General features: G+C 32.6%; 1 protein-coding gene across 4 annotated transcripts in view; it reads right to left on the bottom strand.

The window, feature by feature from the left end:
* The window catches only part of VPS13A (vacuolar protein sorting 13 homolog A), a 244,004-nt gene that overhangs the window by 93,186 nt on the left and 134,472 nt on the right, over positions 1–16,346 (bottom strand). For all 4 annotated transcript variants that reach the window (NM_033305.3, NM_001018037.2, NM_015186.4 and 1 more), the window contains 10 exons: positions 14,233–14,360; positions 13,688–13,857; positions 12,882–13,099; positions 11,946–12,178; positions 10,654–10,746; positions 9,761–10,117; positions 8,679–8,780; positions 7,025–7,183; positions 6,606–6,861; positions 5,125–5,285 (listed from right to left, as the gene is read on the bottom strand). In NM_033305.3, coding sequence (NP_150648.2) covers positions 5,125–5,285; positions 6,606–6,861; positions 7,025–7,183; positions 8,679–8,780; positions 9,761–10,117; positions 10,654–10,746; positions 11,946–12,178; positions 12,882–13,099; positions 13,688–13,857; positions 14,233–14,360 — 1,877 coding nt within the window. The remainder of the gene's footprint in view (positions 1–5,124; positions 5,286–6,605; positions 6,862–7,024; positions 7,184–8,678; positions 8,781–9,760; positions 10,118–10,653; positions 10,747–11,945; positions 12,179–12,881; positions 13,100–13,687; positions 13,858–14,232; positions 14,361–16,346) is intronic.

The following is a 16,346-nucleotide window of genomic DNA, read 5'->3' as shown; positions in this document are numbered from 1 at the left end:
TACTCTGTGCTCTATAAATGGAAAAACAAAGACTGACTTTGAAAGCACATCTGTTTACAGCATGGTTCACTGAATTTTTAAAGCCCACTACTGAGACCTATTCTCAGGGAAAAAAAATCCTTTCAAAATGCTACTGCTCATTGGCCATGCACATTGTCACTGGAGTTCTGATGGAGATGTACAGGAGCTTAATGTTGCTTTCATGCCTGCTAACACAACATCTATTCTGTAGCAAATTGATCAAGGAGTAATTTCAACTTCTTAATATTATATGTAACATTGTATATTTGACTTAAATAATATTAGTCTCATTATTTAAGAAATACATTTTTTAAGGCAACAGCTCCCATAGATAGTGATTCCTCTGATGGATCTGGGCAAAGTAAATTGAAAACCTTCTGGAAAGGATTCATCATCTAGACGCCATTAATAACATTTGTGATACATGAGAACAGGTCAAAATATCAAAATTAACAGCTGGTTCCAACCCTCATGGACGACTTTGAGGAATTCAGGACTTCAATGGAGCAAGTCACTGCAGATATGGTGGATATAGCAAGAGAACTAGAATTAGAATTGGAGCCTGAAGAGGTGACTGAATTGTTGCAATTTTCTTTAGAGAGAAAAGTATGAAGATTATCTCATCCAGTAAGTAGCAAATAATGGTCAGGCAAAAATGTATTATTCTGATTAATATATAATAATAATAATAATAATATCAGAAAACCTCCAAATACTCATATTTATCTTTGGAATAGATAATAACAAGTTGTTTAGTAAAACAATTATCTTATAATCTTTCTATATCTTACCAAAATCTACTTTAAAAACTTCATAGCAGCATATAAAACATGAGAACTAAGAATTTCATAAATGAATAATCTTAACTGTACTATATTTTTAATTCTAGAAAAACTATTTGCTCTATACATTTGAAGCAACAGAAATATTTCTACACATAGTACCTGTAAGAAATTCAAAATTCATGTTCAACTATTTAAATGGCAAAATAATCAGCAGTAATGAGTGCAGCTGTTAGTCACCTTTTAAAATAGTTAACTAAATAAAAAGTGAAAGAGAAGGGATATCTGTTTTCAGCCATGCTAGAATAACGGGGACCAGATATAGCTTCCCACCCTAATCAACTAAAAAGCAGGAAGAAAAACAACAAACATCAAACCACAGTTTCCGATACGGGGCAAGAGGCGGCACAAGGGAAAAACAAAAACAAAAAAACTACATAAGCCCTATGACTACCCAGCTTGCTGTCTGGAGAGTGAGTTTCTAGTCTGCTGTGTGAGGAGCAGGCAGCCAAGTTGAAGAGACAAGATCTGAAAATCTGGGGAAGCCAACGTGACTGAAATTCACAGCATGTTGTACTTGAGGGGAGAGACCTGCATGGAGAGGCAAGAGCTGTACGGACAGAATTCTGGAAAACTGAGTGTCCCCTCCCTGTCAAAACTTCAGCTGAGTAATGATCAGGACATGTGTAGATTATCTAAGGCTCAGTAAAGATCCGTCTAAAAGAAACAGGAAGAATGAAGTCTGGTTCTGATATATACAGTAGTTTTAGGTAACCAATAAAAAATTATCAGGTACATTAAAGGAATGAAAAAATTACCATAATGAAAAGAAACATCAATAAAACAAACCAGAAATGACATGTAATAGAATTGGTAGACAAGGACATTAAAACATTTATTAAAATTATATCCAATATCACTAAAAAGTTAGAAGACTAAGGATGTTAAAAAGAGACAATGGAAAATAAAAAAACAAAAAAATCCAGACTACTATTGAGAAAAATATATCAGATGGGGTCAATAGCAGATTGGCCACTGAAAAAGAGAAGGGAAATTGAAGACACAGCAAGAGAAACTATGAAAAAAGAAACGAGGAAAAAGCTAAAAGTAAAAATGAACAGAGCATTACTGAGCTGTGGGGCAAGTTCAAACACCCTAACGTATATCTAACTGGTACCTAAAGGAGAGAAGAGAGGGCAAAGACAGAAAAAATTTTAGAAACAATGGCAAAAAGTTTTCTAAAGTTGATCAAAACTATAAATCCACATTTTTAAGGTCAGTAAACCCCAAATACAAGGAACATAAAAAAAACTACAGTAAGATTCATCATAACCAAATTGCTCAAAACCAATGATAAAGAAAAAAAATCTCAAAAGCTGCTGAAGAAAAGATTGACACATTTTGTAGAAAAGCAAATATAGGAAAAAAAGCAGACTTCTGATCAGAAACAATGCAATACAGCAGACAGCAGAACAACATTTTTAAAGTATGGGGGGAAAAACCCTGCCAATCTAGATTTCTATGCCCAGTGAAAATATCTGTAATACATATATGTGAAAAAACTGAAAGAATTCATCACCAGCAGATCCACACTGTGAGATTACTGAAAGAAGAAAAAGTGATAATAAATATCAAATACAGTTTGTATTTTAAACCTATTTAAAACATAAATAATTCATTTAAGAAAAATAGTAACTTGTATTATGGGGTGGCTAGCATACATAGACACAAAAATGTATGAACATAATTATACGAATGTGGGAGATGAGAAGTGGAAGTATACTGGTCTAAAGTTTTGATTCTGTATGTGAAGGGGCAAAATACTACTTGAAGGTAGACTAATACAATATGTATGTAATAAAGCCCTAAAGTATCAACAACAACAACAAAAAGACAAGGAAGTATAAAGAGATACAGCCAATAAGCCAACAAGGAAATAAAATGAATCCATAACAAAAATGCTCAATTAATAAAAAAAAAGAGAAAACAAAGGGAAGATGGAAGCAAAGAACAAATGAGACAAATAGAAAAAAAAAATAGCAAGTTTAAGCCCAACCATATCAACAACAACTTTAAATATAAGTGGTTTAATTATCCCTGTTAAAAGGCACAGATTTTCAGATTATGTTAAAAAAAAAAAAAAAAAACAAGGTCTAACTACATGGTGGCTACAGAAACCCCACGTTAAATATACTTTAATGCATGGGTCCCCAGCCCTTGAGCCATGGGCTGTACCGGTCTGTGGCCTGTTAAGAAGTGGGCTGCACGGCAGGAAGCAAGCAGCAGGCTTGAGAGCATTACCACCTGAGCTCTGCCTCCTGTCAGATCAGCCAGAGCATTAGATTCTCATAGGAGCGTGAACTGCGCATGCAAGGGATCTAGGTTGCATGCTCCTTATGAGAATTTAACTAATGCCTGATGATCTGTGGTTAAATCCAGGTACTGTGAGTACTTGCCTGATTTTTGGTTCTTATGAAGGTGTTTTTTCTGTGTAGATAGTTGTTAACTTGGTGTCCCTGCAGGGGATGGGAACACACATGGGTGGAGCTTTCTATTCCTAAGAAAGGAATCCTGAGACTATATGCCCCAGCCCCCCACCCGTGGAAAAATTGTCTTCCATGAAACAGGTCCCTGGTGTCAAAAAGGTTGGGTACTGCTGCTTTAATGAGTTAAAAAGTTAAACAATGAGAGGCGGAGCAAGATGGGAGAATAGGTGTGGTGGTGTGCACCTACAGTCCTTGCTGCTCGGGAGGTTGAGATAGGAGGATTGCTTAAACCCAGGAGATGCGGCTCCAGTGAGCCATGATGGCACCACTGCCCTCCAGCCTGGACACAGAGCAAGATTCAAGAAAAGAAAGACAGAAAGACAGACATTGAAACTCTAGACCAATATCCCTCATGAATATAAATGCAAAATCCAACAATATACTAAAAGGTTAGTAAGACGTCATGATTATGTGAGATTAATCCTAGGAATGCAAGGTTGATCTAATATTTAAAAAGAATCAGTGAATGTAATTCATCATACTAACAAATTAAAAAATATATCCTCCTCTTGTACAGAAAAAGCATCTGACAAAATCCAAAATCAACTCTGATAAAAACTCTCAGCACACTAGGAATAGAAGGGAACGTTTACAACCTAAGAAAAGGCATCTACAAAACAACACAAATCATGTTTAAAGGTGAAAGAATGGACAAGGCAAAAACATGCTCTCACCACTTCTACTCGAATTGTATTCTAGCCAGTGTGATAGGCAATATAAACAAGATAAAATAAAACACATCCAGATTGAAAAAGAAAAAGTAAAAATGTCTTCATTTGCAGCTATCATAACTATCTAAATCTACACAAATCTACTAGAATATGTAAGTCTAGTTAAATCTGCAAGTAGAGGTTAATATAACCTGTATTTCTAAATACTATCAATGAGTAATCAGAATTTAAAAATTAAAGGACAAGCCAATTTTATCCAGATTTTTTATAAAATTGATAATCTGATTCTCAAATTTATATAAAAATGAGAAGGACCTAAAATCCTCTGGAAAAAAAATCCATATGGTGAAAAAAAAAGCAAAACCTCAATTCTTAACTTCACACTGTATACAAAGGTTCACTCAAAATGGCTATGCGGCATATACATATAATAGATTACTACTGAGCAACAACAAGTAACTGCATGTAATAACATGGATACACATAAGTTGACACATACATACAAAATTTTTCTGAATGAAAGTCAAACTCCATCTGTACTGTATTCCACTTATGTAAAATCCTAGGCCATATAACTAATGTACAATGAGGACAGATCAGTGGATGCCTGGGAATGGGAAAGTGGGGAAACAGAAAATTTTTCTAAGAAATAAATATGTTCATTACCGTGACTGTGATGACAGTTTCAAAGGTGCATTTTTGTGTCAAAAGTCATCAACTTTAAATATATGCAGTTTATTGTACATACCTCAATAAAGCTGTAAAATTTTTTTATTTCTCTAAAAATTATCTAATCAAATAGAAAGGATATAAATACATTACAAAGACCTAAAGCAAAACACTGATGACTATTTATAAAAAATACCGTAAGAAGATTTTACAAAATATTCCTATTAAAAAATTATAAGAAGTATATTGAACAAATTCCTACCACCCGTCATAACCAAGTAGCGCAACTGGTGGTAGTGAGTCTTCTTTTTGATATCAGCTGTATTACTGTTACGGTTTATATTCTTTCAGTAATAATTTGTTGTTGTTGTTTTTAATTTTATTAGCACACAGATATGCATAACAGGACATCCCCCAAAATTGATCATTTCATACCTGCACTGGGGAGCGAATTGTGACCTTCTTACTTCCTTCTACTGTATCAATTTGACAAACAATAGATCTTTCAACGCCAGACTCTCTGTGTCTTACAGTGTACAGACGTCGTCCCACTTTTGTTAAAGGAATCTTATCAGCAGTAGAATGGTTAACAGGTGCTAAATTAAGTAAGTATGTTTAAAAGTTTTTATTATAATTCATTACATATTAATTTTACATATGTTACATATTAGAAATTTCAGATGATTCTTAAACTTATAAATAATAGTCACTAGAGTCTTTGGATATAGTCCATAAAAGGGATATTTTAAGAAGCCAGCATATATTTCCACAGCATTAATTAAAAAACTCCCATTCAGGAGTTTAACCCAAGACAACAATAGCAAACGTTTCAAAAATGAGTAATGAGAGCAAGTACTATAAAATACAAGAATACTGATCTCTGGTTTGCTGTCAGAATAACCAGAGCATAATACCTTTTGGTAGACATTGGTAAATATCAAGGTGACTACAATTTTTGTTTTTAATTTTTCCAACAACTTGTGTCACTTTTCCTTTATATCTTGGACTTGATTAAATAAAATTTTATATATATTTACCTAAAACACATGTTGTATTGGGGATAAAATTACTTACTTGCATAAATTTCATTTACCATCCCATCCATAAAAATGTTAAAAAAAAAGACGTAAAATTTATAAGAACATTAATTACAACGCTATGACAACACCTGAAACACCTGTTACATGTTATTTTCTAACTAGAAACACAAGCTATTTTAGTAGCCTACCCCCCTATGTCTAATTAATCTTTTAAATGATGCCCTCCTCAATAATTACTTAAATGCCAGAGTATCAAAAAGTGGTGTAGGTGAGGCTCTGGGACTATTTAACTTCACAATGACTACATATTATGATACTTTAAGAATGTATATATTTCACCTCCAATAAAAATGAAAAACTTTTGGGAAGCAGAAAAGACAAAGGAAAAAACCTTCATCTCAACAGGCAGAACATAAAAAAAAAAAAACCATTTATAAATCCTAAAGCCATTAAAAATTGCCATCTGCATGAATTCACACTTAGAATTCTTTCAGTTGCAAAACTGGTGGAATACTATCAACGGATACCAAATGTGAATAAAAGAACCCCCACAAACATCTAAACATCCACGGTCTATAAAAGCAGAATGAGGGCGAGATCTAATATTTTTCCTCCCAACAACAAAGCAGTAAATTGCCATGCTCTAAATAATGCAGAGGATAAAGAAAGAGTTTGGAATACAAAGTTTTAGTAACAATAGTAACCAAGACACTGCAAAGACAAAAAACAGTTCTTGACCTATTAGAAAGGATATTTTAAAAAAACAAAAACAAAAACAAAAAAAACCTTGCTAAGATTCTACAAAAGAGTAAAATAACATGTAAATTGTAATTTAAAACAAAATAGCCCCAGGAAGGTAATTTTTCAACTACTTACTAAGAAGAATGAAGAAGAGTTTGCTGCTTAGGCTGGTCATTGCATTGAAATGATCATTGTCCTTGGTTCGGATATAATCCATACTTAAACTTTCTCCATTTTTCAATACATATGATTTTGCCATAGGAATGTTGAGTACACTAAAAGAATCACTTGGCGAAACAGAAATAGTAAGTCCAAGGGAATTTAAAATCATAAATGGTGCTAGATCCTTTACGAAGTCAGCTGAAGATCCAGTGGCAGCTTCTGTAAATGCCTAATAAGAAAGAGTTATGCTAAATAAAATGAAATGTGTAAAATTAAATGACAAGGAGAACAGTAAAGGACAAATGACAACTAAGTTATTAAACTTCTTATTCAACAGACAGATCAATCAGACAAGTATCTCAATATTTAAAGTTTCAAATTTCTTTTCTTACCTTGACTAAATTGTTTAACATTACAAGACCACATTTGGATAATGTAATGTTTAATTGGTCTTTTGAATGGAAACTGATGACAGTTTTATATTCTGGCACTTTGTAGTTTTCTTCTTCAGGATCTGACTCAACAATGGCCATTTTTGCTTTCTTTTTCATCTAAAATGATAAATCATAGAAATATAAGGAAAAATTCTAAGAACACAACATAACTAGACAAATCCCAATACCAACATTAGAAAGGTCAGTACATTTTATCTTTTCTAATTTCAGTAAGTTCTATTGCCTTATTGAAATTACTTGGACATCAGCCAACTAAGGTCATAAAGGACAGAAGTATTAGAGAAAATAAATCATGTCATCATCAGTGATAGTAAAATGGCAGACACAATTTAGAAGGAAAAATAAAAACCTAAAATTACTATGTGTACCCGGGATCTGAATATAAAAGCACATACTTCAAAGCAACATAAAAACTCAGACAGAAAAAAGTAACTTAATGTATTGGTCATGCTAATAATAAAGAACAGAAACCTAGAGACTTACAAAGGCAGACAATAGTAGCAGAACAGTGTTATAAACCTAGAGCTCATAAGAATCAATACCCTTTACCATTTTTTAGGAGTCACAGATCTGCTGACCATGTGTATTCTAACCTAAAAACCACCAAGGAATTCCTTTTCATATCCTTCATCTAAAATATCTGGAAAATAAAATTAAGTGATCTAATATGAAAAGAGCTCAACATGCTAAGCTAGTCACCTCTGTTGTTACTTTAACTGGCTTTAAGCCACTGAAAATCTGTCTGCAGGTTGACCAAGTCATTATTAGGTAGGAAACACGTGAGTAATTCTGCAGTCTCTTGCTTCAGAAGCAAAATTTCATCCACCTAAAGGCCCCGATTCTCATGATTATATAAATCCACAATATATTTCAAACAAATAATATACATTCCTGCACACATGCAAACATCCAAAGGATGAAGGAAACTCAGGATAGACAACAACCTACAAGATGATGACACAGGCATTATAGCATAGTGGTTTAGAGTGGATTTAACGCCTCTGCAGCTGGATTTGCATCCCATCTTTTCCACTTTGTAGCTATTATTACTTCAAGAAGTCTCTTAACCTCCCTGGTCTCAGTCCCTTCACATGTTAAATAAAAACTGTATCTACCTCCAAGAGTTGTTGTAAGGATTAAAATATTTAGAACAATGTCTAAACTGTGTTCTAAATTATGTTCTAAATTGTTCTAAATTATGTAACAAGTAACATAATACTTGTTACATAATTGTATTAGAAGCATAGGCAACATTGGCCTTAGATTTGAAAATTATATTCAGAGGGCAAACAAGGAAGCATGTGGGCAAGGCTCATGATGAGACAACCTGAACCTTGTTGTGATTAAAATAAAGTGTCGAGTGTGGTATAAACATTCTCAATTTTGGAAAATTTTTTCAGTCTTCAAATATACGTTGATGAGGGAATGTTAATAAAGGGGGAGGCTATACATGTGCAGAAGTAGGTGGTATACGGGAAATCTCTGTTCCTTCTTCTCAATTTTGCTGTGAACCTAAATCTGTTCTTAAAAAAATAAAGTCTTTTAAAATACATATATATATATATACACACATAGACATATATAGATATACCTTGATACCAAGATTCCATGGTCTAAAATCCTCAGTCTGATCAATTTCTAAGGGTTCAAGCAAAGGCTCCCATACACCAAACATTTCATTATAATAATGCACCTACAGAGAGAATTTTTTAAATTAAAAATGATCTTCCATCCTGTTTCCCACCATGTTTTTTAGCCCTGTTATTTCTTCTATATAAAAACCAGTCTACATGCCATTCAGTAGCTTCCTATAAGCACTCCCTCAGCATTTTCCTCACCTGGCTAACTTCATAGTACATATTCGCTCTTCACAATTTAGTCCAGATAAAACCCCTTTTTAAGCATCTTTCCTTGATTCTACATTACATAAAAGTATAAGGCATATATTTCTAATTCTTCATATTTCTATTAGAAGAGATTATTATCCACATATTCAGAAATTCTGTCTATATCCTTAAAAAAAAAAGGGTATTCAACTTTAACTCTTTTCTTTTCTTTTTTTTTTTTTTGAGTCTGGGTCTCACTTTGAACCCCAGGCTGGAGTGCAGTGGTAAGATCTCAGCTCACCACAGCCTCGACTTCCCAGGTATTCTCAAGTGATCGTCCACCTCAGTCTCTCGAATAACTAAGACTACAGGTGTGAGCCACCACCACTGGCTAATTTTTTGTATTTTTAGTAGAGACAAGGTTTCACCATGTTGCCCAGGCTGATCTTGAACTCCTGGGCTCAAGCGATCCTTCTGCTTTGGCCTCCCAACGTGCTGGGATTACAGGTGAGCCACTGGGCCTGGCCTCAATTTAACTCTTTAAAAAAAATATTCTGAATCTAATCAACAACTGTCGAATAATATATTATCTTTAAGTTGATAAAATCAGTTGAAATATAAACTTAATGTGGACATGTACTTTAAAAGTAAAAGGAATGTATACATAAAAGCAATTATTCAAGGGCAAAATTTGAAAACTTTTTTCTAAAAGTTTTTGACCCAATATCATATTTACAATAAGCTTAAATAGCTACACAAGATTCCATAATATTCCATATGTATCATTATCTGTCATAATATTCCATACGTATCATTATCTGTTATAAAACTGGAAAAATATGCTTACTTCTAGCTCAAGCTGACAGTGCAGATTTATTAGGGAACTCCAGTTTTTGCCTTCCCCTGAAAAACGTGACTTTGCCAGAAGCATAGGTACTGTTCTATGACCAATTCCAGCCTCAAGAACTATAAAAATAGAATCAATGTTCATTTTTATCATCTCGCCTTTGGGTACCAATTCAGTTGTGGGAGCTATTTTTTCAGTTTCATTTGATTCTTCAAGAAACCACATTTTTAAAGTCTTTGTATCCTTCTTTTCCCATAAATGTGCAGTAGAAGAAGCCGTTTCTTCTGGGATGGTTTCCTTAGTTGTATACAGTGCTGAAGTTATGGTAATCATAGTATTTATAATAACTGGTGAAACCTAAATGGAAAAAAATTAATAAGTCTATACAAAACACTTTCAAACATACTACGTCAAGAAATATTAAATATATATTATGAGAAATTAAATACTGAATTAACATTACTACCACAAAATAGAAGATACAATTTATTGTTTATAAAATTTTTTAAATTACCATAATTCTTGTTATGTGTTTACATGAATCTTGCAGATATTTACATGAATCTTGCAGATATTATTCCATGAATTACATGATATTATTAATATACATGAATTGCAGATATTATTAAACTGATGAAGTATAAAGTAATTTCAATAATATTTATTAGGGATATTAGATGTTAACCACACAAATGTAAATAATAAAATATAGAATAACATTCATAAAATGTGTATTAAATAATATTACTTTGTAAATATCTCATAAAAACGTATTTTCAAAAACACACCTATTTTGTTTGCATAACAATTAAAAGACTTGCTATAATAACTTTCTAGGCTTTACTACTTTTTTTAAGTGCACTAAATATTCAAATGATTATATTTTAATTTACCTTTAGTGTCAGGGATTTTACTGACATATCGATCACTTGTGGATCTGTACCTTTCTGAGTAGTTTGATAAAACAAGTCACAGGGCTGCAAAACCTATGAGAGAAAAATCAATACCACTAAATTAATGTTTAAATATAAAAATATTTCTATTTAAAGACTTTCCTAGTAATAGGTATGTCAAATAAACAAGTTAATAAAAACAACTATTTAAAAAGTGACTTAATAATACACTCCTTAATTATCCCATATAAAGGACATCTAGAACCTAATATCTGTTCTATTCTTCCACAGTAATAGAAGTTTTATCTGAGCACAAGGTAGCTCAGAAAAAAATACCACAGTCTCCAACCTTTACTGAAGTAAAGTGTGGTCATACAGCTATATTCAAGCCAAAAAAGATGTGAATAGAAGAAATATATATTTAAAACTTCTAAGTCAAAAACTAAGAGAGAATTGGTATACCCTCCATTTTCTATTCTCTCTCTTTGCTTAGTGGAGGGCCAACTGTCTTGCAAATTTGGGCAACAGTTTATCTTATATCCTAATATATATGTATTCATTGTATCAAAATTACATCTTATATTTCTATGGTGACAATGTTTAGAACATTTATGCTTCTATAGATGCATACCAAGCATCAGGAAAAAAATACAAAGAAACAAACAAAAACTTATGCTTCTATTACTCCTTCAGAAGCTCAAATATTTTTGTAAGTATTCGCTGGAAGTCAGCCAGTTAACTTGAAAAGATGTCTGTAAAGGAATGAATTTTAAGTAGAGTTATGAAGAGGAGGAAGGCCAAGAGGTTACTAGAGAGTAAAATATCAATGTGAAGTATGTCAAAGCAAATGGCTGAAGGTTCAAATGAAGTTACATGGAGACAAGGAAAAACTCATTATTTGAGCAAAAACATCCAAACGGGAGAAAAAAGTTGAAACAATAAAATTGAAACAACACAGCAAACAACTGGCAGAAAGTCTTAAAAGTCCAAAGAGCAATTTGGAATTGACATGGTTAGAAAGTCAAAGTAGATCTTAACTGAAAACTGTCAAGATGAACCCAACTTCTTAGTGACAATATTCCCACAAATACTAACAATAATGAGCAGCATCTGGAAGAATGAAAGAGTTTCAAAGCTGGTAAATAATATTCTAAATTAAGCTCTCTAAGCAGAGAGAAAGACATTTTACAGAGCAAGGTTGGAAAGCATGTAGGTAGTTTTTGTTTCCTAAAATGGTATACACTACATCCAAAATAGTTACAATTAAGCAGATGATCAAATAGTTAACTCACAGTAGTGATTTTGCCTTTTCTCTTGACTGGAAGAAACGGGCAGGCTCTCACTTGGAGATCTTTAATGGCAGCAGTCATTGTACTATTTTCAAGGTTACCTTTATAGCAAATTTCACATTGTGTTGTAATGACTAAAGCAGGAGCATCATTTTTTGTCATGTCAGCTACAAACACAATTTCAGGATTTTTAATAATAACATTAATTTCCCACTTCACTGATTCCTGTGTAGGTACTAAAACAAATAAAAATAGATTAAAATATTTGCTATATATTATGAATAATTTATTATTTATAAGAAAATATTAAAATGAAATAATAGTAAAAAGTAAAACAAAAGAATCTTAGATCCCAAAGGAATCAACTACAACCCTTAGTAAAGACTTGAAGAAGCTATAGGCATAAGAACATTTTTAAATGAGGGGAAATCTCCACTATTTAATTGGAAAGCCTAGAAACTAATCTAGTTTCTAACTCTCAACTTGATACTCTTTCTACTATACCACAGTAAATCACATATTATAAAAAGATAATAGAGAAACCGTACGTTAAAAGCTAGGAATAAATACAACAAAAATAAATGAGTGCTTTAAATTGAAATATTATCTTAATTGTGAAAAGGTATGGTTGGTTCATTATTTGCTCTGCTTGTTTTTTTCCACTAGACAAATTCCTTCAAATTACTGCCTGAAGAGAAGTACAATTACTTATTCTAACATAGGTTTCATAATTTTTAAATGCAATATATACTGACACCTTTAAAAAATGCAAACTATACATCCTCCAAGAAAACACATTAAGGTTTTCCTTCTACTCTGAAAAATAAAATTTTAATTTCTTAAAGCATTTACTTTGATGATCTAAAAGGCTAATCAAGGTTAAGTCCTGTTGTAGCACTTCAATAAAACAAATATTAAATATTTTAGCCAATAACTAACCTTCTTCCTTAGCAGTCCATGTTTGCACACTGGTTTCTACAGCAGTGCCTGTGGTGTAGGCCTCAAGAAAGACATTTGCAACAGTCTGCAGAAATTCTACGCTTGCACAAATATACATTTCTTGAAAGACCGCATCAGTCACACAACCATCTCTGACTTTCCTGTACTTTATATCCATCATGTCTTTTTTGTCAAAACCAACTGTCAGTCCTATCATTCTGGAAAACACAATAACAACAATTCCTATGTATGAGTAACTTAGAAGTAATCAAACATATGAGTAAAACTCAAAGACCTCTTATCTCTTTTACTGACAAAAAAAAGCATTCTGAAGTCATGTCTCTTGGGAAGATCCATAAAGTGTTCCAAATAACAAACTTACAAACTTCTGGAACACAAATGTATCATAAATGAGGAAGTGTATGTTCAATAAATTATAAGAGTTTGAATCTCAGGATATTTTTTCTTTTCAATTTTTTATGTACTTCCCATTGCAATTAGCATGGATTAACAATAACTTATATTAGATTTATATTAGAGAATGTAATTTAAAGAATGTAAAAACCAATTTAATTGCACTGATTATTTCTAGTTACTCAACCAATCTATCAATTATCCAGTAAGAATAGTACATAACAGAACCAGGACATTTTAAATGTTAACCGAGTACTACGAGCTGACTGAATTGAAGCTTTAAAGAACCTAGGATGCACTCAGAAAATGAACGTGCAATTCTGGAGATGAATTCTGTAAAATATATCAACGATTTCTCAAGTAAAACCTTAGAACATCATTACAATACATACCGAGGAGTTGCTTTCTTGACATGAGGTCTTTTATCATCTAAAATACAGTTTTTTAATGAGAAGGAAGAAAATGTTGAGCCATCTGTATACATTTTTAAAGTACTTATAATATTCTCCAATTTAAATTCAGCAAGTTTCAGAGAAGGATCACGAACATCTGTAAAGGAAGCCTATGAAAGGAGAAACCAACACAAAATTACAAAGAAACACAAGTCTAAAGTGTATTTCATGATATGAACTACTACAAATTATTGCCTCTGCTTATAACAAACATCAAAATTCTGTCTCCGAAGGGCTCTAATGAAAGGCTAAAAATATATACATATCACTTTAATTTTACAATTTATTTTTCACATTAGCTATATGATAGATAACTCATTTAAAAGGGAAATAGTTATAATTATTATTAAAGTAAAAAGATCATTTTTCTCAGAGGGACAGATACTACAAAATAAATGTTAAATATTAACATTTGTTACTTTAAAAACATCAACCTATGCAAATTTCACATGTGAAAATACATTTTCTTTTCTTCCTGGACTTACCTGTTTAGGACCTGGACTATACAGCACCATGGTGAGATCATCAGTTTTGAAGCTTATGTTTAGTGTTGTCTTAACTAGTAAGGCACGTGAATGTACTTCTACCACAGCAGCTGTCACCACAGTTGCTCCTTGAAAAAATTAAAGTTATTTAATAAAAGAAAATATCATGAAAAGTAGCTCATTAAAATACCCTTGAAATAGATTTAATAGAATTATTAAACAGGTATAGTAAAATGACATTCAAGAAAATAAAATATTAGAAAATTCAGATGTAAAACTCAGTAACTTCTGGCTTAGGACTCTTTCCATAATAATTTGGGAATATTAATTGAACACTTGGTGTTTCTATTTCCTCTTGATGCTTCTGTTCCTACTTCTGTTCTGTTCCAAGGAAAAATAGAACTAATCACTGAGTATGTTTGGAGATTAAGTAAAATAGCACATGTAAAATGCATATTACAGTAACTGGCACATAATTCAGTATTCAAATTTTACTTTAAAAAACTAAAACCAAGAGACATTTTTAAAATTTTTCTACTAATCAGAAGAATTCAAAATTTGTTTTCTACATTTGAATTTTGAATCAAGGCATTATATGCACATATTAAATGAGCTTAAAATGAAAACGCAGCACTTTCTAATTCTCATTATATCTAACTTCAGAGAAAAGTACCATTATGCCAGGTAATGTATTTTCAATTGTGATAAAAATTTACATACAATGAAATACATGTATCTTATATGAACTATTTGATGAAATTTGATAAGTGTATATTTCCACATAGTCACTACTTCAATTAAGATACTGAACACTTATATCCCTCCAGAAAGTTCCCTCTTAACACTTGCTAGCCAATTCCCAACCTCTCTACCATTCTAATTTCAATCATCATAGACGAATTTTGTATATTTTTTAAATTCCATATAAATGGAGTAATACAGATTGTACTATTTTGTGTGTGGCTTCTTTCAGTCAAAATAATGTTTCTGAGATTCAACCATGTTGCTGCATGTACAAGTAGTTCACTCTTATAGCTAGTCATGCACTCTATGGAATGAAATAGTTTATCCTCCTATTGATGAACATTTGAGTTGTTTCCAGATTTGGGCTACTATAAATAAGTCTGCTATACGTATTCCTAAATGAGTCATTTTGTGTATATATGCACTTATTTTGGGGTGGGGTGGGAGTAGATACCTAGGTCTGGAATTGCTCTGTTAAAGGTAGGTACATATTAACTTTCAAATTCTTTGCCAAAGTGGTAATACTATTTCACATTCCTATCAGTCGTATGTGAGAATTGCAGCTGTTCCACATTCTTGTCAACCTTTGATGTTGTCAGTCTTCTACAACTTATCTCATCTGGTGAACTGTGAAGTTTTCCTGATAAATAATTATATGAACGGCTGGGCATGGTGGCTCACACCTGTAATCCCAGCACTTTGGGAGGCCAAGGCAGGCGGATCACGAGGTCAGGCGATCGAGACCATCCTGGCTAACCCGTCTCTACTAAAAGTACAAAAAATTAGCCAGGCATGGTGGCGGGCACCTGTAATCCCAGCTACTTGGGAGGCTGAGGCAGGAGAATGGTGTGAACCCGGGAGGCGGAGCTTGCAGTGAGCTGAGACCACACCACTGCACTCCAGCCTGGGTGACAAAGCGAGACTCCATCTCAAAAAAGAAAAAAAAAAAAAATTATATGAACAAGTTTTCATGTGTTCACTGCCCATTTACATAGCATCCTCTCTCAAGTATCCAAATCTTTTGGTCATTATTTTGCTTTTAAAAAGTTGCTATTAATTTATAAAAGTGCTAATGTACTCTGGATAAAAGATACATACATCAAGTCTGAGGCTTGGGTTTCTCCTATCTTGTTACTGTATCTTTAATGAACAGAAATCTAAAATTTTGAAAAAATATACATTTAAACATTTTCTCTGTTTTTCTTTTGTTGGATTCTATTATTTTTATTACTGTCTTCTTTTCATTTACTTTGGGTTTAATTTCCTATTCTTTTTCTAGTTTCTGGTGGTAGAAGATTTAATCTTTGATTTTAAAACTTATTCATTTCTAATATCTTACTCTACAGTTACAAATTTCTTTCACCACTGTT

This window comes from Homo sapiens, chromosome 9, assembly GCF_000001405.40.
Source record: "Homo sapiens chromosome 9, GRCh38.p14 Primary Assembly".
In the NCBI taxonomy this organism is placed as follows: Eukaryota; Metazoa; Chordata; class Mammalia; order Primates; family Hominidae; genus Homo; species Homo sapiens.
Note: the sequence above shows the minus strand (reverse complement) of the source record. Positions and strands in the feature narration are given on the sequence as shown.